The sequence below is a fragment of the Homo sapiens genome, chromosome 4, assembly GCF_000001405.40.
Source record: "Homo sapiens chromosome 4, GRCh38.p14 Primary Assembly".
NCBI classification, from domain to species: Eukaryota; Metazoa; Chordata; class Mammalia; order Primates; family Hominidae; genus Homo; species Homo sapiens.
In genome coordinates, this window is record NC_000004.12 from 145,168,450 (window position 1) to 145,193,281 (window position 24,832).

General features: G+C 42.4%; 1 protein-coding gene and 1 long non-coding RNA gene across 9 annotated transcripts in view, besides 7 other annotated features; one reads left to right on the top strand and one right to left on the bottom strand.

Moving 5' to 3' along the window:
- Positions 1-12,140, bottom strand: part of OTUD4 (OTU deubiquitinase 4) — a 46,940-nt gene extending 34,800 nt beyond the window's left edge. For 3 of the 8 annotated variants that reach the window (XM_047415838.1, NM_001366057.1, NM_001366058.1), the window contains exons 1-3: positions 11,366-12,140; positions 6,212-6,295; positions 3,221-3,271 (exon numbers count right to left, since the gene is read on the bottom strand). In XM_047415838.1, the coding sequence (XP_047271794.1) occupies positions 3,221-3,271; positions 6,212-6,295; positions 11,366-11,524 (294 nt within the window). In that variant the 5' untranslated portion in view covers positions 11,525-12,140. Of the gene's footprint in view, positions 1-3,220; positions 3,272-6,190; positions 6,296-9,678; positions 9,710-11,129; positions 11,232-11,365 lie in introns of those variants that run through there. The other 5 variants (XM_011532041.3, XM_011532040.3, NM_001102653.1 and 2 more) reach the window with 4 other exon arrangements.
- Positions 374-574: a silencer, noted in NCBI's record as "peak5130 fragment used in MPRA reporter construct". NCBI's record gives its function as "represses an SCP1 promoter by STARR-seq MPRAs in K562 erythroleukemia cells {active_cell/tissue: K562}" and the evidence as "EXISTENCE:reporter gene assay evidence [ECO:0000049][PMID:32103011]".
- Positions 9,567-9,816: an enhancer, noted in NCBI's record as "active region_21963". NCBI's record gives its function as "activates an Ori minimal core promoter by ATAC-STARR-seq in GM12878 lymphoblastoid cells {active_cell/tissue: GM12878}" and the evidence as "EXISTENCE:reporter gene assay evidence [ECO:0000049][PMID:35858748]".
- Positions 11,242-12,071: an enhancer, noted in NCBI's record as "H3K27ac hESC enhancer chr4:146100843-146101672 (GRCh37/hg19 assembly coordinates)". NCBI's record gives its function as "activates a minimal SCP1, AML or CMV promoter by ChIP-STARR-seq in naive H9 embryonic stem cells {active_cell/tissue: H9 hESC(naive)}" and the evidence as "EXISTENCE:reporter gene assay evidence [ECO:0000049][PMID:30033119]".
- Positions 11,247-11,706: a silencer, noted in NCBI's record as "silent region_15723". NCBI's record gives its function as "represses an Ori minimal core promoter by ATAC-STARR-seq in GM12878 lymphoblastoid cells {active_cell/tissue: GM12878}" and the evidence as "EXISTENCE:reporter gene assay evidence [ECO:0000049][PMID:35858748]".
- Positions 11,827-12,056: a silencer, noted in NCBI's record as "silent region_15724". NCBI's record gives its function as "represses an Ori minimal core promoter by ATAC-STARR-seq in GM12878 lymphoblastoid cells {active_cell/tissue: GM12878}" and the evidence as "EXISTENCE:reporter gene assay evidence [ECO:0000049][PMID:35858748]".
- Positions 12,072-12,901: an enhancer, noted in NCBI's record as "H3K27ac hESC enhancer chr4:146101673-146102502 (GRCh37/hg19 assembly coordinates)". NCBI's record gives its function as "activates a minimal SCP1, AML or CMV promoter by ChIP-STARR-seq in naive H9 embryonic stem cells {active_cell/tissue: H9 hESC(naive)}" and the evidence as "EXISTENCE:reporter gene assay evidence [ECO:0000049][PMID:30033119]".
- Positions 12,147-12,546: a silencer, noted in NCBI's record as "silent region_15725". NCBI's record gives its function as "represses an Ori minimal core promoter by ATAC-STARR-seq in GM12878 lymphoblastoid cells {active_cell/tissue: GM12878}" and the evidence as "EXISTENCE:reporter gene assay evidence [ECO:0000049][PMID:35858748]".
- On the top strand, positions 13,744-16,393 carry LOC124900794 (uncharacterized). The gene is made up of 2 exons (XR_007058294.1): positions 13,744-14,982; positions 15,085-16,393. It is a non-coding gene; the product is annotated as an uncharacterized LOC124900794 (long non-coding RNA).

A 24,832-nucleotide genomic window follows, 5' to 3' on the forward strand; every position in this document is an offset into this window, starting at 1 on the left:
AAACTAGAAGAATGTATTTGTAGAACACATATCCAATACAGGACTTATATCCAGTATAAAGAACTAGTAAAATTCAGTAAGAACAACAGCAATTAAAAAATGGGCAAAAACCTATGAACAGACATTTCACCAACAAAATTAGATAGATGACAAATAAGCACATGAAAAGATGCTCAACATCATTAGAGAAATTCAAGTTAAATCACAAAGAGTGCTGGCAAATATGTGGAGAAACTGAAATTCTCATAATATTGCTGATGAGAAAGCAAAATGGTACAGTCACTTCAAAAAGTTTGGCAGTTTCTTAAAAATATGTTTACCAGATGACCAAGCAATTTTGCTCTAAGGTATTAATCCAAGAAAAAAGAAAACACATGTCTACACAAAGATTTATAAGCAATTGTTCACAGCAGCTTCAATTTTAACAACCCAGAACTGTAAAGAACTTAAATATCAATCAGCTGGTAAATGTATACACAGGTTGTGATAGATACATACACAGATTATTTTTCTTCAATAAAAAGGAACTACTGCTAAACGCATGAATGAATTTTAGTATTTCCAATAGGCTAAGTGAAAGAAGCCAAATACATAAGACTACAAACTCTATCATTCCACTTATATGCATCTAGAAACAGCAAAACTTAGAAAGCAAATCAGTGCTTGCCAGGTCCCAGGGGATAGGCGGAAGAGGATTAACTGCAAAAAGGCAAAAGGAAACTTTCTGGAGAGATGGAAATGTCCTTTATGATGTTTGCTGTGGTGGTTACATGAGCATATACACTTGTCAAATCTCATCAAATTGTATATTTATAAGTGATGAATTTCACTGTATGTCAATTTTACCTCAAAGCTGACAAAAACATATTCTCGCACAAGTTTGAAGTACCTTCAAAATGCTCCACTATTACTCATTAAGAGGATAAAGATGCTTTCTCTGAGAACTGGATGAAGCAACTGAGTTTATCCATCAAATATCTGCCAAATGGTTTCTGTTTCCATTTTATACAGCCATATATTAGGAAGGCAAAAAAATATATTTATTTATTTTTTGAGATGGAGTCTCACCCTGTTGCCCAGGCTGGAGTGCAGCGGCACAATCTCAGCTCACTGCAACCTCTGCATCCCAGGTTCAAGCGATTCTCCTGCCTTGGCCTCCTGAATAGCTGGGACTACAGGTGCACACCACCACGCCTGGCTAATTTTTTTGTATTTTTGGTAGAGACAGGGTTTCACCATCTTGAACTCCTGACCTCAAGTGATCCTCCCGCCTCTGCCTCCTATAGTACCGGGATTACAGGCACGAGCCATTGTGCCCAGCCCAGGAAAGCAAAAAAATAAGAATGAAGATTTATAAATATTTGTTGCTAGTAACAAAAAAGAAACAACTGTCAGAAGATGCCATCCAACCCTTCAGTCAACAAAATCCCTCAGAACTGGAACACAGCAGTGAATAAAGCATACAGAACTCTGTGTTCATGGAGCTTAATTCAAGTAGGAAGATGACAAAGTACACAGTACATTAAATGATATAAGCACTACAGAGAAAAATAAAGCAGAGAGGGGTACAGGGAAAGTGATGGAAGCTGAGAATTACAATTTTAGATAGGATAACCACTACTCTGACTTCCTGCCCCAAAAACCTTATATGGTTTCCCAATGCCTGATGCCTAGGCCCCAGGCCCAGAGGCCCTGATTCAGGTATGGAATAGGGGCCAGGGAATCTGCATTTTCACATGCACATCAAGTGATTTTGATACAGATAACCTACAGATCACACTTTGAGAAACACGGGTCTAAAGCATAAGCTCCAAACCACTGACCCTAACACTGAAGGCTCTCCCACAGTCTGGCCCCAACCTGCCTTCCAACTCCTTTCTCACCACTTCTTATCTTCACATACTCAATGCTCCACACAATTGGAACTGTTTTCTGAATCTGCTTTGCTCACAGTTTTCACTGCCTGGAATGCCCTTCAGCCCAGGCATTTCCTATTTAGAATCCATTCAGACTTCAAATACAACTCACTCTCCAAGTGTTGCTTTGTCTACCCAGCTAGAAATAACACTTTGAATGCCTACAGCATCACAGCTATATACCTCTTGTGACAAATCTCCTTTTCTAGCTTGTATTGACCTTCTTTCCTATGATAGGGAAACTTTTTTGTTATCTACATTATCTCTGCATCCCCAGGGTGACTAGGAATTCTTGGCCCATAACAAGCACTCAAATTAGTGTTAGGCAACCAAATGGATACATCAGTCATCGATCAAACACCCTTGGTTCCTACATTACATTCCCTTTACTCCTTAACTCTTCTTAGCTTTTTTCTTTGCCAATGTTATTTTTACCTTAACATTCTAAATGGCATTCCAAGATACTTGGATTTTTACAGTGAGAACGTTAGTTTTGTAAACAGAAAAATTAAGAAAAATCCTTTTAACATAAACATGACTGAAAAAGTATAGCAGCAGGAGTTGGTGAGTAAGTGCTATCCTTTTCTGTCTCAACAGTCTCTTCCCTCTTCACGAGATGATCATGGAAATAGGAACCTGCATGAAAGAACTCTGCCTTCTCAGTTGCCTAGGAAGAAAAACTCTGCAGGCCAGGTGTGGTGGCTCACACCTGTAATCCCAGCACTTTGGGAGGCTGAGGCAGGCGGATCACGAGGTCGAGAGATCGAGACCATCCTGGCCAATATGGTGAAACCCCATCTCTACTAAAAATAAAAAAATTAGCTGGACATGGTGGTGCACGCCTGTAGTCCCAGATACTCGGGAGACAAATCGCTTGAACTCGGGAGGCGGAGGCTGCAGTGAGCCGAGATCATGCCATGCACTCCAGCCTGGCAATGGAGTTAAATTCCACCTCAAAAAAAAAAAAAAAGAAATCAAACTTCACCCTGTCCAAGTTCCATACACACACCAACGTAGCATTCTGAAAATCATCACCCCAGTATTATTTCAGATTTTTATACTACATTTACATGCCATTATAGCCAAGATAAAATATCACAACTCTGCCTTAGTGAGGCAACCTCTAACATATAGCTCCAACTTAAGTGCTGCATAAAATGTGTAGGAAACGTTTATAAGGAAATAGGATACACCGTCACTGCAACTCCTCTATACACTGTAATAGTAATCTTCTATTTTAATGAATTTTAAATACATTATTTGGATATATAAAAATAGAAATATACTAGAAGACTGTGACATACCTGTGGATTTTCCAAACGCTTTAAATATTCTTCAAATGATCCTTCTATAAACTGCAAAAAATAAATCTATTAGAAATGTCATCTAACATATATGCCAAAACAGTTAACCGCTTCGCTGTGTAAACATTCACTGTGAATTACTGAGTTTGTACATAAACCTAAAATACCTCAGTATTATTTAAAAATATGTACATAATCTAATTATGAAAACATATAGCAATCATTAAAGACTATAAACATACAAAAGAATTTAAAGAAGGAAATTCTGTCAGGAAAGGTTTCCTGAAAGAAGAGTGACTCAAGATGAATGCTGGACAGGATCTGGATGGCAACAGGCAGCTGATACTCTACAGAGAGGGCCAATGTGGCGTGAGGAGGAAGAGGAACACTGTGTTGGGAAGACAAGCAATCTGGCCAGCTGGAGCAGGACAACCTGTTGTGGAACTGAGTGGGAGAAGAACCCAAAGGGGGGCCTGTTTACAGAGGGCCTTGAGCCCAGGCAGGACTTGAAGGCTAGATGAGAAAGGCCATTCAAGGCCACTTCAGGTGACATTCTGAACTGAGAAATTATATGATGAAAGCAGTGCTTTAACTTGGTAGTGACCAGTGTGTAGAAGGGAATAAAACAAAGACTGACTTACAAGCTAAGAAATAGTATAGCTTAATAATACAGATAAGAGTACTCATTGTCTCTCAAGTGATACTAGAAAGAGCGATGAGAACTAGTAAGGCGAAAAATATTTTGAAGCATCAACAAAATTTTTCTAATACAGCTTGCTTCATCGCTTCATTGTTACTTTGACATAAAAACAGTTTATTCAAGCTGTGTAATAACACAACCTTTTTTATGTTTCTTTAATAGCAATCGCACTCATTTGAGAAATCTCTAAAAGTCATTTGTTGAACCACCAAATTCAATTGCGTTTAAATTACAGTCCCAGTTGATTTAGCAGAGATATACTTAAAGACATTAAAGTATACTCCCTTGTCTATAAAATCTTTTAAGCACCCTTGGATTTTAAGATTGAGATTCTTTCATAGATTATATAATGTCAAATTGCCAAAAATATCTTAAATTTCGAAAGATATTTATAATAAAAGAGCCATATATATTAAAGAGCCCACCAATAAAGGGCTACTGTTCTGTATTAGATGATTATAGGTCTAAGGAAAAAAAAAACACAGAACCATTTAAAGTTACTAGAGACTGCAGAATTCTGACACAAGCCTGCATCCTCTCTGAGAGTCTCCTTTCTGAGCAGAAAGCGTCCACCTATGCCATGGCTGAACAATGTCAGTAACAAGGCATAATACTTTCTACAACATCTCTTTCCAATTCTGGACAACTGAAACTGCTTGAAGGTTCATAAAAGGAAAGTGAAACTTTTCCCCATGGAACTTTCAACCTCTGATCATACCTCATAAAATTATATGGACTAAGGCCAGGCACGGTGGCTCACGCCTGTAATCCCAGCACTTTGGGAGGCCGGGGCAGGCAGAGCATGAGGTCAGGAGATCGAGACCATCCTAGCTAACATGGTGAAACCCCATCTCTACTAAAAATACAAAAAATTAGCCTGGCGTGATGGTGCCAGGCACCTGTAGACCCAGCTACACTGGAGGCTGAGGCAGGAGAATGGCATGAACCCGGGAGGCGGAGCTTGCAGTGAGCCAAGATGGCGCCACTGCACTCCAGCCTGGGCGACAGAGCGAGACTCTGTCTCAAAAAAAAAAAATTATATGGACTAAAAAAAATATATGCAAAACACTTAATGCCTGGCATATAGTAAGCACCTCAACCAATGTTAGCAATGTCCATTATTATCAACACAGTTTTACCCTCTGGGGCCAATGATTAATAAGAATTAATTTAAAGACCATTCCACCTCCCCACTTCCCTTCTCTACCACACCTCTGCACTCTCTTATCTAGCCTCTGCGTTACCAGGTTTTTTTAATAAAACAAGGTTTCAAGCCTATCATTTGCAAAGTATTATATCAACATTCTCTACCAGTCAACTGGGGGAAATAACACCCAAAGTTGTCAGATTACATAATTCTAGGTCTTAAAACCAGTAAGTAATAAATCCTGTAAGACTTTGAATGTAAAATGAAAACAGGTCACTGTGGCATCTTATTTCACATACTACTGAGAAAATTATATTAAGCTGTTATACAACATTTTATTAACTATTAATCACTACTTACATAATTATAATGTTCTGACATGTGAGTTCACACTGAACCCTGAAAATTAAAAACCTATGAATGCCTTCTGATAAAATTAAGGGTTCAGCATTACTTACACTCAGCGTATTTTTTACACTGCAAGTCTGAATTTTTTTTTTTTTTTTTTTGAGACAGAGTCTCACTCTGTCACCCAGGCTGTGGTGCAGCGGCGCAACTCGGCTCACTGCAACCTCTGCCTCCTGGGTTCGAGCAATCCTCGTGCCTCAGACTCAAGAGTAGCTGGGACTCAGGCATGTGCCACCATGCCACTACTTTTAGTAGACACAGAGTTTTGCCATGTTGGCCAAGCTGGTCTTGAACTCTTCACCTCCCAAAGTACTGGGATTACAGGTGTGAGCCACCATGCCCAGACTGAATTTTTTTTCTTTTAATTTATAGGGAGTTACCCATCACAGAAACCACTATTAATCACAACACCCCCAATTCCCTGACCATGTCAGACAAAGCCCACTCTTAGTATGCAAGGGCCTTGTCCAGGTCATCTTTCCATCCCCCACAGCTCAGCGTCTTATCCATCATAGTAGCTTTCTAAATGTCCAAATAAATGCAAAACATAAAATAGCCTAGAAAACAACATAACTGAATATAACTAGATTAAGTTCAATAGAGAAGTTTTTTTAATAAGTGTTATTTTCATAACCCGCATTAAGATCCAGCCTGTGAAATTCTACTAGAACACTTCTAAAAGCCAAAATGTAAAACCAAGTCAAGACACCATTACATGTTTGAAATTACAAGTTACCGCTTCAAATTTCTCTCTGTTCTCTCGAAGATAGTGAATACAGGCCATTCTGACTTCAACATGGCGAGACTGAGAGTGCAATACCTAAAAAGAAAAGGCAACAAACACACTATTAAGCATTTAGTTAAAAGTTACAACCTAATGTCTTCTTTTACACCCAAAATAATCTGACAACCAATAGATTATCAGTCTTTCTCCATTTCCCTTTCTATAATTTCGATATCTTTACTCATTCCTACCTCTTCTTCTAACTAAGCACAGCGAAGACATGACATATACAAACAATACTACTTCTTAAGCCAAATTTGTAAAGAATTTATTAGCCTTTCTCCTTTAGGACATTTTTGTAAATTTAGGACACTCTCTTCCCTTGGCCTTCCCTCCACAATAACTTTACTCTTCACAAAGAAGAGCTAACAAAATCCATGCTACGCCACGCTCAACTTCATCCTATACATATTGAAAAAGACAAACTGGCAACTTCTGTAGGAATGTATTTTGAGGCTTTCAGCCTGTAAGAGGCCGATTTATTTTTCCCATTAATTCTGAATCCACTTAGAGGCTCTGTGTAAAAATTTAAGTCCACTATGGTTTCAGAAAAATTAAGGCACTCATTCTTTCCTTGGTGATCAAGCTTATAAGACAAGAAAGAACATCCAAGTAGGCAGCATAGGGGGTGCAAAAATGTTGTGTGGTATCATCCCAAGAGGTTTGGGGTTTGTTTTTATGCCCTAAATTGTAAAGTACCAACCTACAAAGTATGATCCAGATCCTCTCACTCTGCAGTTTACATTTTCTTCTATTAAACAACCAGTTCAACAAAAAGATAACTTACTGGCATGTGGTCTTTTACCAAAATTCTAAAGCTGTGAATTGAAACAACTATTTCTTTTTTTTTTTTTGAGACGGAGTCCTGCTCTGTCACCCAGGCTAGAGTGCAGTGGCGCAAGCTTGGCTCTCTGCAACCTTCACCTCCCAGGTTCAAGCGATCTTCCTGCCTCAGCCTCCTGAGTAGCTGGGATTACAGCCAACTACCACGGCGCTTGGCTAATTTTTGTATTTTTAGTAGAGACAGGGTTTCACCATCTTGGCCAGGCTGGTCTCAAACTCCTGACCTCGTGATCCGCCCACCTCGACCTCCCAATGTGCTGGGATTACAACAGGCATGAGCCACTGTGCCCAGCCTGAAACAACTATTTCTTATCCAATGCTTCCTTCTAGCTAGCTCCCAATTCTTTTTTCCCCCACCAGGCTGGAGTGCAGTGGTGCAATCTCAGCTCACCGCAACCTCCGCCTCACAAGTTCAAGCGATTCTCCTGCCTCAGCCTCCCGAGTAGCCGGATTACAGGAGCTGCCATGTCCGGCTAATTTTTCTTTCTTTCTTTTTTTTTTTTCCGGCTCATTTTTCTATTTTTAGTAGAGACAGGGTTTCACCATGTTGGGCAGGGTGGTCTCAAACTCCTGACCTCAGGTGATCTGCCCGCCTGGGCCTCTCAAAGTGCTGGGATTACAGACATGAGCCACCACGCCCGGCCCTAGCTCCCAATTATTTAACATGCTTAAAGGAGATTAAAATTCTTTTCTATTACTGGGTATCTCAAATAAAGATATTCCTGTACCGTAAAGGGTTATGGTTTAAAAAAAAAAAACTCAGACACACTTAAAGTAACACATTTCAAACTACCATCAAGGCCTCTTGAGAATTTATATTAATAGAAAGTATCTTTAAAAGTTACAGATCCTGGCCGGGCACTGTGGCTCACGCCTGTAATCCCAGCACTTTGGGAGGCCGAGGAGGGTGGGTCCCCTGAGGTCAGGAGTTTGAGACTAGCCTGGTCAACATGGTGAAAACCCCATCTCTACTAAAAAATACAAAAAAAAAAAAAAAATTAGCCAGGTGTGGTGGTGCGTGCCTGTAGTCCCAGCTACCTGGGAGGCTGAGGCAGGAGAATGGCTTGAAACCAGGAGGCAGAGGTTGCAGTGAGCCGAGATCGTGCCAGGGCACTCCAGCCTGAGTGACAGAGTAAGACTCTGTCTCAAAAAAAAAAAGTTACAGATCCAATTGAGTGGTTCTCCCTTTACGTTTAGCATGAGTAGAGCATTTGGGAAAAGGGAGGCTCCAGCTGTGCATTCTACAGCTCTCTTGGATCACAACCAAGGCTCATTTATACCCACAGAACCGGCACAACTGCCTGGACGCCTAGTATGTCCTATTACGCTGAGATACACTGAAAATGCACCTGTTGAGGTTAGCAATTAGTTTGTTTTCAGTGTAATAACTGGTTTTCAGTTTAACTGATTCTACCTTCACTGCTGTTCTTGGACACTATTAAACTATATTCTTATATATTCTAAGAGTATGTGACCAAAAAGGACTATCTATATATAAAAATAACCACCGTAGAATTTTTTTGCCAATTCAACAAATGACATTTAGCAACACTTCTTTCACAGAAGCTATGTTAGACACTATCATGAATCAAGGTATTACTCGTATGAATAAACCACAGTGTCATCTGATAGGGCTTTCCTCTGCCATTAGCAACGTGGAGCTAGTCTTAAAGCCATTTACCTAGCAACAGGTGGCAAACATAAGTTAGTAAAGCTTATTTTCAATCAAAAGCAATGGTAGGCATATCTACTGGTTCTTCTCTTTTAACAAAGATTTTGGCACATACAATCTATCTGAACCTGTTGCTCAGAAGCAAAACTCTTAGCAACTTCTATAAAGTGTGAGAGTGCTGGTAATTCACAAAGTCAAGCACTGCAAGAAAAGCAAGGTTAAATGACAACTGTCTAAAATGTAAATTATTGTGCAAGGTTGATAACACTTCGAAAGAATTAAAGTAGTATGACAAATATCTCTGCAAATTAATATATACATGAAAGCAAACTAGAAGGCTTTCCCATTTTTACTTGGGACAAGATAGTGATAAATACTGGGAAAGGCTGAGACACTGTTTTAGCAAGTCCTCCAAGACTGCCCTATTTTTAGCTCCATGGCTGTGGAGCTGATTCAGGTCAGGCCTCCGGCAGGCCCAAATCCGTAAGTGTAAAAAGGAAATGGCCTATCTAAATCAGATAATTTGGAGAGAAAGACCAAAATCCTAACTCGAGTCTCCTCCCCGTCTTTAAAAACTGCCACTTAGATTATTTACTTTGATTCCTTCTTAGAAATGATGAGTATTTGTGATTTTATAGGAGAAATTGTTGGCAAAAAATATAAATTATTGGTACACATTTTAAAAGGGAAGCCTGACGCTGGTATTACTTCCTTTTTCCCACACACACACACTTTGCCTTTGGCGATGATGGCTATAACTGTAGCCTACTGAATAACTGAACTTCCCCCAAAGTTCAAGGTCTTCAGCTAAGCTCATCAGACTAAAACTGAGTCACATAACTGGGAAGGGTAGTCCCTTATGCCTAACCTAAACCCCATTACAAAATACAATAAAATGTGTTACCTGATGTAACAAAGAGTTCTTAGTGTAAACTAGCTCTTGCCCCTTTTCTACTTAAAAACAGAGATCCCACTATAATAAAAGAGGCTTCTGTATAATCAAGGCCACCGAGTATCTATGGTATGCACTACGGAAATCAGGCACACCCTTCTGCTTCAATATAAACTAGGACTCAAGATAACTCAAATCCAAGTAAGCGCCAAGCTTCCCTTACCGCCATTTATTTCTACCTCCTTGCTTACCAAACTCTTGCTAGGTCTAACAGTACGTTATAAATACGGGCTGAATTCACTTCCACCTCTTCCCTAGGCTTCTGGAGGTGCTGAGGAGTCCAAGGAAGCAGGACAGACAGAGATTCAGAAAATTCACAAATGGGGCAGACTATTTACCTACTAACAATAAGGACCGGAGGCAGTGGGTGGCTGTGAACATACCCCACAGCAACACTGAAAATGAGAAACGGACAGAGCCTGGTTTGGGGAGCTTTTGGAAGAATTTTTCAATGACAATGTCCGCAACATAAAGCAACGGTTTGTGTCCGTTAAATCAATTTCTTGTTTTAAAGAAAGATTTTACGCTACCTATGGTAAATAAATGGCTTGCCTTTCAATGTTTAAAAATGAGAACAGACTGGCCTCCACATGTTAAGTAAAACATTTACTCACAAATAGAAATTTTAAAAGTTATTTAGCATTCAAAAAAGGTGAGGGAAAAGAAAACAGAAACATCATAAAAACCCCACAGGCGGGTAGGGAGGGGTGTGCAATGGGGTGTGGGGAGCAGGTCCTAGGTCAAAGGAAAGCACATGTGAATCGTCTGAAAGACACACCAGAGCAGAAACTTTTATCCAGCTACTTCGGCAGCTATTTTTCAATATAGGATGGGTTTTGGTGACTGCACACCTACAACACACAGTGTTATATAACATGGAATAAGCTCGCTCAAAAAAAAAAATTCAGAAAAATCTTCCTGAGCAACTGTGTTAGAAAATGGTTTTGAAAAGCTCCAGTTACACGTACCCTTTCTACTACCAACATCAAAACAGGCTTTTTTAAAAAAGTCAGTTCTGTTTAGTATACCTACACAGCCCAGCAGAGCATAATAAAGGGTGGAACCTACTCAAGACAAATCCTTCAAAATATTCTATATTTGTAAAAGGCTGGTTTTCTCAAACGGCAGTTTGCCCATTTGATTCAAGTGACATGGGCGAGCTTGCCTACCCTACATTCCAAAGTCCAGCAGCAAACCAAAATATGTTCCACAAGTAAAGTTTGATCCACCACTTCTAGTAAACACTTGGTTTACTGGAGTGGGGTGAGCGTGGTGCTTCTCAAACGAAGGGAAGGAAGGTGAATGCGGAACAAAAGTAAAAAATATCATGTCGCCAGGTCCCCAGCAATAAATCAACTGTACAAGCTCCGAGCAGGCCTCACAAGTTGTCCTCAACTCATTACCTCTTCATCAGGAGAGAGACACCCCGTTAATTTGCGGGCTTTCGAGTTTCAATTTGCACCTTTCAGACGCAAAGCAGCGTCCCACTCCGGCGTTACAATGGGGCGCTGTGACGACAGCCAGGGCACGCGCAGCCCCGGCCGTGGGCGGCCCGGACAGCCCGCAGCTGCCTCCCCACCCAGACCCGCCGGGCCGTCCCCGCCTCCCCTCGAAGCCCTCCCCGCCCCCCCGCAATTACCTGCTCCGCCACGGCCCGGAACAGGCACGACCCGTCCTTGGCGACCAGTTTCCGATACAAGCCCAGTTTCCGCAGATAGGCGTCCATGGGCGTCGCGTCCTCGCGGGGCCCCGCGCCGCCCTGGTCCCCGCCGTCGGGGACGCCGACGGCAGCCTCCATGTTGCTGGTCCTGCTGCAGGCCAGGCGCGGCGAGGGCTAGCCCCACATGGCCAGGCCGCCGGCTGCTCGACGCCCCGGCCTGGGGCAGGCGGCGGCTCGGGCTGGGGCTCGGGCTCCGCGAGCGGCGGCAGGCGGCGGCGGCCCGAGGCAGCGGTCCGCGCTCTCCGGGCGCATAGGGAAGCCCTGCCTAATGCATGGCTGTCCGCACGCGGCCGCCTCCTCGGAGCGAACACGCGCCCACGACAAACGGGGGGAGCGGGATTAAGGAAAACCCCGAGAGTGAGTAGTCACTTCCCGACGGCCTCGCTGCCTGACTCAGGACCCAGGCCGGGGGTCGCCGCCCCCACAAGTTTCCTCCTCCGTACCGGTGTGAAGCGAGAAAACCCCCGCCCCTGGCGCGCACGCTGGGCCGGCTCAGGTGAAGCGGGGCCTGCGCCCCCGCGCACTCCCCACGCCGGGAGCCGAGGAAACCAAAAAGAAAGACGCGGCCTTTCGTTTCCCCACCTCGCTGGAGGGCGCCGGAGGGGCAGGGAGCGGGTGGGGGCGCCCGGGAGAGAACAGCACCTCGCAGCCCAGAATTTGTTTTCGCTTTCGGCCCGACAGCGGAGAGGACGGCGGGAGATGTAGTCTTGGCAGCCGCAGGAAGTCGGCTTGCGGCGGGCGGGGACGCGCTGGCCGGCCTACCCGGGGGAGGTGCCCGGGAGGCGCGCGGACTACAAGTCCCTACAGCGCGGGCGCGCCGCCGCCACCGCCACCGCCCCAAGCCGGCTTCGCGCTGCACTGGCGCCGCGTCCGCGAGCAGGCCGAGGGGCTCCGCCGGCCGATGTGGGGCGACCTGCGCGCGCCACCCGCCAACCCTGCCGCTGCGCCGCGGGAATCGCGCGCGCCGGGCTGGCGTGGAGTTGCCAGGGACACGGCGGCGCAGTGTCGGCCCTTTGTGTATTTCTTTCCAGAGGGCGCACCTGTCTGCTCCCTTCCCCCCGGCCTGCTCTCCTGGTGTTTCCATGGAGGTGGCTTTAACGGCTTAAGCAGAAAATAGAGCTAATTGGCTGAGGCTCCGGGAACTGGCACGGTGCGGGACGACACACTCTGTCCATAAATCAACCGTGGACTGCTGATTGCTATTAGTAGTACAGCTCACGTACTACGGCAAGATGAAGGCTTTGCCAAAGACATTTTTGTTCACCCTGTCACTGTAGCTGAGCACCCCATCACAGAGACATGTCACTGTCGGAAGACGTTAGGGTTTTTTTTTCCCCCTTAAAAAATTCATCTTGTAAATTGCTTGATAACATGCTGACTGGACTGGCCATGGCTTCCACCAGTGCTCGAGGCTTCAGCTCAACTTCCCACCCTCCGACGTTGAATGGCAGGGAATTGACAAAGTTAAATTATGCTTTAGAACCCAGAATTTATCCAGCATGCTTCTGTTGCACCAAAATTTTATTTTGCTAAGATACAACATCTGGTGTCCTTATTTAAATACATGGTTAATCATAGGAACTAATTCAGTCTTTTAGGCTATGGTGGAGGAGAGGGAGAAGAAAAGGGAGCATTACTATAGGTTTAGACATGTAGTCAAATACCTTGGAATGGGGGGCAAGGCAGGCCAGGTGGTGAGAGTCCAACGACAAAAATTTTTTAAAAACTACGTTAGACACTTTTCAGTATTTTCAGTGCAAGCAATCAGTCATGTATTCACTTTCCTTGGAGCGTCTTTGATTTCTTAATGTTTAAATATTGTATCTCAAATTATGCTGCTTTTAGAGAATACAAACGTTATCGTTACCTAAATGAAAAAATGTCCCTGCCTCAAATTTACTTGTTGTAGCGAAGAAACACTTTGAAATCAGGTTTAGAAAAGTATAGTTTCAGCTGGGCGTGGTGGCTCACGCCTGTAATCCCAGCACTTTGGGAGGCCGAGGCAGCCCGGTCACCTGAGGTCAGGAGTTCGAGACCAGCCTGACCAACATGGAGAAACCCCGTCTCTACTAAAAATACAAAATTAGTCGGGCGTGGTGGCACATGCTACTCGGGAGGCTACTCCCAGCTACTCGGGAGGCTGAGGCAGGAGAATAGCTTGAACCCAGGAGGCAGAGGTTGCGGTGAGCCGAGATCCCAACATTGCATTCCAGCCTGGGCAACAAGAGCGAAACTCCGTCTCAAAAAAAAAAAAAAAAAAACGGAAAAGAAAAATATAGCTTCAAGTCAAACCTGTTGCTTTTCTTTTTAAAATACACTTACATTGCATATACTTCTCATTCTTCTCAAAAAAAAAAAAATTCCTGAGTATTGCCACTACTTAAAACATGGATCGCCCTTGTTTTTGAGTTTAAAAGCTTGCCTTTTAAACTCAAAGAGAAACTCAAAGTAATATCTAAACTCCTGCTGAATGAATGTAGAACAACCTCACTCTAAGCTGGCTGCTTCTGGTTCCAAAATTAGAAGTGATGCACCTGTTATATCTGACCCTGGGCCTGTTTAAGGAAATCCTTTAGGTATTTTGAGACTTAATCCAAGACAGACCCTCTGTATGCCAACTTCCCAAATATAGCTCAGCGTTAAGGCAATATTAGAGGATCCTATGTCTTTAAACTGCACCAAAACTTAGAGAAACTCACTTAACTTTCAAAGGATCTTTGCTTGTTGACATTAACTTCTGAACCTTTTCAAGAAACCAAACCAGAGTTGATGAATGTTTATTCTAAGGAAGCCATTTCTGACTGTGTGAAGAACTCTAAACAGACATCATTTTAATCAAATAATACCTGAAAGATTCAATGCTTTTGAGACCTAATGAAATTATAAAATTAAACTTATGCAAAGGAGTCAACCAACTTTTTTCTTCTTGTGCAAAGTCAATGCCTTAAGTTTGTTTACTCTGACAAACTTTAGGGCTAATAATTGTACTAGATAGAATTTTTTAAATTGTTTTTAAACTTCATAGATTGATAGATTTTATGGAGTTTTGTTTTTTCCAACAATACCTAAGGTTAGGTATTGTAGTAGGCAGCCTCTAAAATGCCCCACTCCCGACCCCCACCAAGTGATTCCCACTTCCTGGTATTCACACTCATATAATCACCTCCACCTTGTAACAGGATTGGTCTGAGTGACCAATAGAATAGAGCAAAAGTAGTGGTATGTCACTTCTGAGATTAGGTTATAAGAGACATTTTTGGCATTTTGATTGGCCTCTCATACTCCCTGTCTCATGGGTCACTCATGCTGGTGGAACCTGGCTGCTATGTGTCAGATTTACAGAGAGGTTCCCCTTGTAAGAAACTGGAGCCTGCTTTCCTCCAGCAGTCATGTGAGTCAGCTTTGAAGCGAATCCTCCAGCCCAGTCAGGTTTTCAGACAACTCCAGCGTTGGCCAAAATCTTGACTACAACCTCAGGAGAAACCCTGGCCAGAACTACCCAGATAAGCTCTGAAATTCTTGACCTCAGAAACTGGGTGAGATAGTGTTTATTTTAAGCTCCTAAATTTAGTCGTAATTTGTTACATGGCAATAGATAAATAATACAGATATAATTCTTCATTATTTGTCTTTACTAGATAGAGAATGAATGCATTTTGACAATTCGTGAAAATAATCACTAGTTTAGTATCCGTGGTTGTACCAGTTCTCTGAATTCTAAAGATGAAAAGGTAAGTTATTTTACCAAAGAGTCAAAATAGTAAGTAATAGGATTTCTTTTGAATCTATGAAATCTCTTACAAAAATAGAGTAACCTAAGAATGTCTTTATTGCCACATAGCATTGTTTCATTTTCTACAAAAATTCAAGTAATGGAATCCTACTCAAAAAATGTATTTTATGAAGAAAGACCTGTTTCTTCTGGATCTTATCTGCCAGAGGCTGCTAATTGTCGTTCTCCACTTCCCATTTGATTTCCCCTGAGTTTTTGCTGGGCCCATGGGCACCCAACTTTGGGCTATATCTCCCAGCTACCTTAGAACTAAATGTGACCCTGTGATTGTGTTTAGGTCAATGGGATGTAAGCAGAATTATTTAACTTCCAGCTCATCTCCTTAAAGATGAAGCTTCTTGCCTTCTACTCTCTGTCCTACTTCCCATGAGCTGCTCTGAAAACATGGTTGAAGGCCGAGTGCGGTAGCTTACGTCTGTAATCCCAGCACTTTGGGAGGCCCAGGCGGGCGGATCAGCTGAGGTCAGGAGTTCAAGACCAGCCTGGCTAAAGTAGTGAAACCCCATCTCTATGAAAAATACAAAATTAGCCAGGCTTGGTGGCGGGCACCTGTAATCCCAGCTACTGTGGAGGCTGAGGCAGGAGAATCACTTGGACCTGGGAGCCGAGATCGCTCAACTGCACTCCAGCCTGGGCAACAGAGTGAGACTCCATCTCAGAAAAAAAAAAAAAAAAATGGTTGAAACTAGTTAGCCAGCTTTGCCGGGCACAGTGGCTCACGCCTGTAATCCCAGCACTTTGGGAGGCCGAGGCAGGCGGATCACGAGGTCTGGAGTTTGAGACCAGCCTGACCAACATGGTGAAATCCTGGCTCTACTAAAAATTCAAAAATTAGCTGGTTGTGGTGGCACACGCCTGTAATCCCGGCTACTCGGGAGGCTGAGGCAGAAGAATCGCTGGAAACCGAGAGGCGGAGGTTGCAGCGAGCCAAGATCCGGCCATTGCACTTCAGCCTGGGTGGGCAACAGAGGGAGATTCCGTCTCAAAAAAAAAAAACAAAAAACGAAACTAGTTACCCAGCTTTGATCATGCAAAGACAACACCGTAAGATAACAGAGCAATGAGATGGAGGACTGAGCTCCTGAATACTTCATAGCCTGTGATCCTTGAACCAGTCCTCTCCAGACTGTGAGAAATAAACTTATTTTACCAACCGTTGCTGCTGTTGTTATTATAGCTACTTAGTCTATGTATTCTAGCACATTTCCCCCTCAAATATTAAATAAGTGATAACATTTGGGACAAATTAAATTTATTTATAAGAGTTTCTGAGTTGAGCAGAACATAATTCTTTTTTTTTTTCTTTTGAGACAGAGTCTGTCACCCAGGCTGGAGTGCAGTGGCACCATCACGGCTCACCTCCCCAGGCTCAGGTGATCTTCCTACCTTAGCCTCCAAAGTAGCTGGGACTACAGGTGTGCACCCCCACTCCCAGCTAATATTTTGTGTGTTTTTAGTAGAGATGGGTTTTCGCCATGTTGCCCCAGCTGGTCTCAAACTCCTGAGTACAAGCAATCCTCCTGCCCCAGCCTCCAAAAGTGCTGAGATTACAGGCGTGAGCCACCACACCTGGCCCATAATTCTTTTTTCTGAGAAGTTAGGGAATTGCCAAAGTCTTAATTGCAAGATTCCAAATGTTAAAGGGCTTCAAAATATGAAGTTTTAACATCGAAATAATGGTGTTATTTCAACTAATGACTTTCTCCCTCACCAACCCACATTCCCCTTCAGCTGCTACATTTGATGGTGTTGACCACCTTTTCATTTTGTTACTCTCCTTCACCTTTTGTAAGGTGAGATATCTTGTGTAGTCAAGCTATTTAAATATCTTGTCTTGATTATATCTCCTTTGCTGATTCCTTTTCTCCCCCACTCCCCATCTCCTAAATGTGGGGGTGCCCCAGGTCTCAAGTTTTAACTTTATTTAGCCCTGTTCTCTTTTTCAAGCTTTAATGTCTTATCTCTAGTCCATGCAGGACATTTCCATCTAAAACACATTTCTAAAAGTAAACTCATTTTTCCCTTAAAACCATCCCCCTCAAGCACTCTAACATCAAGCATTGGGTTTAAATAGTAGATACTCAAAAAACACAACATTTGCTGAATGATTTAATGATGTATCATTTATTATGGTAGATAGCTCTTGTTTTTGCTTAATCGTTATCCATTCTCTGTGGAATAGATGAGAAACAATAAGGAGTTATAGTCAAGGTGATAAAAACCAACTTTTTGCAAATGAAATAATTTAGTTAAATGCTCAGGAAAATCAGGAAAAAACTGGTGTGATGGGACTACATTTCCAATTTATATTTTGGAGGAATGATCATTCAGAAAAATAATCTTATCTGTAAATTTACAACAGAATGAAATGATAGGAGAGAATGTATGCTATAGCTTTTGTGTTTCATTTGCAAGCTATCACAAGGAGGAACTGGCTGGTAGTAGTAAAAGATTTTACCTAGTAAGCTTATGATTCTATACGCATTGCCCACCTTCTCTGGTAACTTGGAATATCAACCTTAGCAAAGTCCTTCACAAGCCTTCCAAGTCTTCAATACTATACATTCCTGCATAGCAGAAAATAACATTGCATGAGTTAGTTTACCTTTTCCTTGCTAGAGCAAAAGGATCAAAAGAATTACAGAGGGGAGACTTCATCTCCCAAAATGGGAAGCAAATACTTCTTACTGCAGGAGAGTGTTTGAAGATCAAGGCTTGAAAGAAAAGAAGACCACTTTTCTTAGTTTTTAAAGTAATTTTTAAAATTTCACTCTGGCTTAATGGTCATCAAGATCAATTCAAAAAATTACAAAAGAAAAAAAAAAAGGAAAGAAGGAAGGAAGTACAAGGAAGGGTAAAGGGGCCAGGACCCTGGTGCCATCTATTAGCCAAGTGAGCTAACCTAGAGAAGGACCTTGCAAGGGGCTTGGCTGCAAATGCTCAGATATCTGTCTTTTCTAGCTCACCATCCAGCCTCCGCATGAGGGAGCATCTCTTGTTGGCCATGCTACTTAACTGTACCAGCACTTCGTAGCTTGACTGCTCTGTAGTACCAAAGTTGGTATATGCCATGAGATCCTTACTCAATCCTAGTAGAGAAAAAAGAGCCCCCATCTGCACTTTAGACAGATGAACTGAATAAGTTTCAAACCCCAGAGCTAGGACTGCAGTCCTGAGACCCTATAACCTGTATGACTAGAGAAGTGAAACTATGATTTAGTTTCTTATTAGAGCTTCGACTTCCGTATATTCCTATGCCTAAGCTGGATGAACTAATAAACCTCACAGTAGACTGAGGCTCTTACACAAGTAGCTATAGCTAGTCATAGTCCATTATCTCTGCAAATAAAACCTCCACGTACTTCCAACCATTTACCTCTCCTTCCACCACTACCTCTTGATTCCACCCTGACAGAAGCAAACTTGCAAAGTCCCATTGCAAGGTATTTACTTTAGCTCCCCAAATAGGATTGTAAACTCTTTGTAGGCTTGTAGAATTTAAGATTCTTTTTTTCTTTTTCAAGTGTCTAATAGTATATTTGCTTTTGCATATTCAGATTAAAAATTCAATGAATATTCATTAAATGATTTCATGTATTCCCAATGAAATGCTCAAAGAAGAAAGTATTTCAAATGAAAATACATAAATAACCACAGGTTATGGAACCTCAACCTGTAGGTTGAGGTCTAAATATTTGATATAGAACAGTGGACCAAGATTATATGTTAAGTAATACTTAATACCATCTTCCTAACCAAACAAATTGAAGATAATCTAAATAGAGAATTGGTCAAACACATTCTAATATGTCAATACAATTAGAATACAGTACTATTCAGCCTTTAAATACAATGTGTCTGTTTCTGTGTGTGTGTCATATCACAATCATCCAGAAAACTGTATAAAACCACAGATTATTGAAATTGAAGGTAGAAGATGGTGATGAATTAGTCTAATATCAGTCACAAATTAATGATTGTACAACTTAGGTGATGAGCACACGTGAGTTCATTATACTGTTCCTTTTACTTTGTATGTGTTTGGAATTTTCTATAACAAAAAAGTTTAAAAACAGGGTTTTTAATATCCTACTTCAGGCTGGATGTGGTAGTTCACACCTGTAATCCCAGCAGTTTGGGAGGCCAAGGTGGGTGGATCGCCTGAGGTCGGGGATCCGAGACCAGCCTGGCCAACATGGTGAAACGCCACCTCTACTAAAATTACAAAACCTAGCCAGGTGTGGTGGCACGTGCCTGTAATCCCAGCTACTTGGGAGGCCGAGGCAAGAGAATCACTTGAACCTGGGAGGCAGAGGTTGCGGTGAGCTGAGATCACACCACTGCACTCCAGCCTGGGCAACAGAGTAAGACTCTGTCTCAAAAAAAATAGTAAATAAATAAATAAAATCACACTTCAATTTTCCTGTCTCAGAATGACCAGGAATGGTACACAGGAATCTGTGTTTTTTTCAGTTTCTCCCCAGGTGATTCTGAAGGTCAGCCAGCATTTGGGAGCATCTGAAAATTGGGATAGGGGAGGCACCAACCCAAGAAAAGGAAATTATAAATTTTTAAATTAATATAAGCAAATAGACTGTGACCTGCATCCCAAGTTTATAATTCCTGTTCTAGATCACCAGGAAAAATTTCTGAAGACTCCAATCTTAATATTGCACATTGTTTTATTTATAATACCATCTGCAAAGACATCTAAAGATAAAATTGTATTTTTGAGATGGTTGTAAAATGTAGTATCAATATTTTTACATTAAAGTAAAAACATACAATAAGGCATTGTTAACAAAATATGCAAATATGTAGCATAAAAATCCAAAACAACATATATGTGGAATATGTACTTTTGTTTTTATTTATTTATTCATTTATTTTTTTATTTTTTGTAGACAGAGTCTCACTCTGTTGCCCAGGCTGGAGTGCAGTGGTGCAATCTCGGCTCACTGCAACCTCCACCTCCCAGGTTCAAGCGATTCTCCTGTCTCAGCCTCCAAAGTAGCTGGGATTATAGGTGTGCATCACCACGCCCGGCTAATTTTTTTTTTTTTTTTGAGATGGAGTCTTGCTCTGTTGCCCGGGCTGGAGTGCAATGGCGTGATCTCAGCTCACTGCAACCTCCACCTCCCAGGTTCAAGCGATTCTCCTGTCTTAGCCTCCCAAGTAGCTGGGATTTTAGGTTTGCACCACCACACCTGGCTAATTTTTTTTTTTTTTTTTGAGATGGAGTCTTGCTCTGTTGCCCAGGCTGGAGTGCAGTGGCACGATCTCAGCTTACCACAACCTCTGCCTCCCGAGTTCAAGCAATTCTCCTGCCTCAGCCTCCTGAGTAGCTGGAACTATAGGCACATGCCACCATGCCCGGCTAATTTTTGTATTTTTAGTAGGGACGGGGTTTCACTATGTTGGCCAGGCTGGTCTCGAGCTCCTGACCTTGTGATCCACCCGCCTCAGCTTCCCAAAGTGCTGGGGTTACAGGCGTGAGCTACTGCACCTGGCCTTAATTTTTGTATTTTTAGTAGAGACAGGGTTTTGCCACATTGGCCAGGCTGGTCTCAAACTCCTGACCTCAAGTAATCCACCCACCTCTGCCTGCCAAATTGGTGGGATTACAGGTGTGAGCCACTGCTCCTGGCCCGGAACATATTACTCTTAAAAGCACTGTAAAACCTGAGTAAAATAATTTTTAACAGCTTTGAGATACAATTGACCCAATAAACTGCATATATTTAAAGTGTACAATTTTGATATCTTGATATAATGATATGCCCATGAAACTATCACCATAATCAAACTAATGAACATATCCATCACCCCTCAAAGTTTCCTTTTCCTTTTTTGTAATCCCTGTATATCACACACACACATGCACACACACACACAAACACACACACACACACACACCCCCACCAAGTCTCCAGATAACTACCGATCTGTTCTTTGTTACTGTAGATTAGTTTGTATTTTCTTTTATTTATTTATCTTATTTTTTTTTTTTGAGACGGAGTCTCACTCTGTCACCCAGGCTGGAGTGCAGTGGCACAATCTTGGCTCACTGCAGCTCCACCTCCCAAGTTCACATCATTCTCCTGCCTCAGCCTCCTGAGTTGCTGGGACTACAGGCACCTGCTACCACGCCCAGCTAATTTTTTGTATTTTTTAGTAGAGACAGGGTTTCACCGTGTTAGCCAGGATGGATTCGATCTCCTGACCTTGTGATCCACCCGCCTCGGCCTCCCAAAATGCTGGGATTACAGGCGTGAGCCACCGTGCCCAGCTGATTAGTTTGTATTTTCTAGAGTTTTTATATAAATTGAATTATACTATATGTGCTCTGTTTTGTCTGACTTATTTCACTCAGCACAATTATTCTGGGACTGATTTGTTCATTTCATGTATCAGTAGTTTTTTTCTTTTTCTTTCTTTGGTGGAGTAGCATTCCACTGTATGAGCATACCACACATTGTTTATCCATTCAGCTGTCGTATATTTGGGTTGTTTCCAGGTTTGCGCTATTAAAAATAAAGCTACAATACACTCTTCACTTTTCTCAGGCAAATTACCTAGGAGTGTAATGACTGGGTCATATGTCACATGGTAAGTGAACGTTTAACTTTCTAACAAAAAAAAAAACTACCAAACTGTTCCAAGTGGGTTGTACCATTTTATATTCATTGGTTACACCAACAGTACATGAGAGTTCTAGTCCCTTCACATCCTCTCCAACACTTGGTATGGTCAGCCTTTTTTTTTTTTTTTTTGAGATGAAGTCTTACTCTGTCGCCCAGGCTGGAGTGCAGTGGCGTGATCTCGGCTCACTGCAACCTCTGCCTCCTGGGTTCACACCATTCTCCTGCCTCAGCCTCCTGAGTACCTGGGAATATAGGCACCCGCCACCATGCCCGGATAATTTTTTTTTTTTTTGTACTTTTAGTAGACACGGGGTTTCACCATGTTAGCCAGGATGGTCTCGATCTCCTGACCTCGTGATCCACCCGCCTCGGCCTCCCAAAGTGCTGGGATTACAGCCGTAACAGACTTTTTAAATATTAACTACTCTAATGAGTATGCAGTGGCATTTCATTGCAGTTTTACTTTGTATTTCCTTAATGACTAATGATGTGGAGCCTCCTTTCATGTGCTTGTATGTCATTTGTATTTCTTCTTTGGTTGAGTATTCAATTTGGTTGGGGGTCTTGCTTTTAGGATTTGTTAGGTGGGACCAGAGCAGCATTTAGCTTAGGGTTAATTTATATCCACTACTGAGGCAAGACCTTTCTGAGTATTCTAACCAATGTCTCATGAATTATGAGATTTTCCAGTGTGGCTAGGAGGAACCAGCGCTCTCCTTGCACTGTCTCTATACTGGGCATTGTTTTCTCTAATTTTCTCAGGAAGTTGTTTCCCTGGCCTTGGGTGGTTTCCTCCCATGCATGCATTCGTTACAAGACTTCTCCACAAATCATCACAGTTATTTCTCTATGCAGCCCTCTTCTCTGTTGTACTGTGTCCAGTGAATTGGAGTTGCCTTGCTCTCTCAGACTCTTAGATCCATCTACTCAATTCAGGGAGTCCCTACACTTCACTTGAATTTCCCCTGCCTGTGCCATGACTGAAAACTCTCTCAAGGCAATAAGCTGAGGTAATTATAGGCTTACTTCATCTGTTTCCCACCTCTGTAATTGCTGTCCTTTGTTGTCTAATATCCAGTGTCTTGAAAATTATTCTTTCATATATTTTCTTGACTTTTTTCTTTGTCATTTCAGGAGGAAAGGTAAATAAGATCTCTACTACTACATCTTGGCCAGAAGCAGAAATTTGAAAACAAATACAATGAGTATTTTTATGTTTACAGACTTTTCAGTTTGGGCCACAAAATAAGTCTAGTTTCCCCTGCTTTTTTTTTTTTTTTTTTTTTTTTTTGAGGTGAAGTCTCACTCTGTCACCCAGGCTGGAGTGCAGTGGCGTGATCTTGGCTCACTGCCACCTCTGCCATCCGGGTTCAAGTGATTCTCATGCCTCAGCCTCCTGAGAAGCTGAGACTGCAGCCACACGCCGCCACACCTGGCTAACTTTTGTGTTTTTAGTAGACACAGAGTTTCACCATGTTGACCAGGCTTGTGTTGAACTCCTGACCTCAAGTGATCCACCTGCCTTGACCTCCCAAAGTACTGGGGTTACAGGAGTGAGCCACCAAACTCAGCTGGAGAGAAAGAGTTTTTATTTATTTATTTATTTATTTTTTGAAATGAAGTCTCACTCTGTCACCCAGGCTGGAGTGCAGTGGCGTGATCTTGGCTCACTGCAACCTCTGCCTCCTGGGTTCAAGTAATTCTCCTTCCTCAGCCTCCCAAGTAGCTGGGATTACAGGTGTGCTCCACCATGCCTGGCTAATTTTTTGTGTTTTTAGTAGAGATGGGGTTTCTTTTTTTTTTTATTTTTTTTGAGATGGAGTCTCACTCTGTCGCCCAGGCTGGAGTGCAGTGGCACGATCTCTGCTGACGGCAAGCTCCACCTCCCAGGTTCACGACATTCTCCAAGTAGCTGAGACTACAGGCGCTGGCCACCACGCCCGGCTAATTTTTTGTATTTTTAGTAGAGACAGGGTTTCACCATGTTAGCCAGGATGGTCTCGATCTCCTTACCTCGTGATCCACCCGCCTTGGCCTCCCAAAGTGCTAGGATTACAGGCGTGAGCCACCGTGTCCGGCCAAGAGATGGTGTTTCACCATGTTGTTCAGGCTGGTCTGGAACTCCTGCCCTCACGATCCGCCCGCCTCGGCCTCCCAAAGTGCTGGGATTACAGGCAGGAGGCACCATGCCCGGCCAAGAAAGAGTTTTCTAAAAGTGAAAGAAGTACATATTTGACATACATACCAAAGATGCATTTTCACACTGGAAAAAATAAAATAGAATCCACAAAACACTCTAAGGATCAATACATGAGTTTAGTAAGGTTGCAAGATACATGTTCAATCCAAAACCAATTGTATTTCTACACACTAGCAATAAACAATCCAAAAATGACATTAAAAAAATTCTATTTACAATAGCATCCAAAAAAATAAAATCTTAGAAAAAAATTCACAAAAGAAGTTTGAGAATTGTATGCTGAAAAGTATAAAGCATTGTTGAAAGAAATTAAAAGAGATATAAACACATAGAAAGATATTAATGTTCATGGATCAGAAGACTTAATTTTTTTTTTTTTTGAGATGGAGTTTAGCTCTGTCACCCAGGCTGGGGGACAGTGGCAGGATCTCAGCTCACTGAAACTTCCACCTCCTGGGTTCAAGCAATTCTCCTGCCTTAGCCTCCTGAGCAGCTGGGATTACAGGCACACACCACCATGCCCGGGTAATTTTTGTATTGTTAATAGAGGCGGGGTTTCACTATGTTGGTCAGGTTGGTCTAGAACTCCTGACCTCGTGATCTGGCCACCTCGGCCTACCAAAGTGCTGGAATTACAGGCGTGAGCCACTGCGCCTGGCCAGAAGACTTAATATTGTTAAGATGGTAATACTACAAAAATCAATCTACAAATTCAACATAATCCCTACCAAAATCCCAGCTACCTTGGC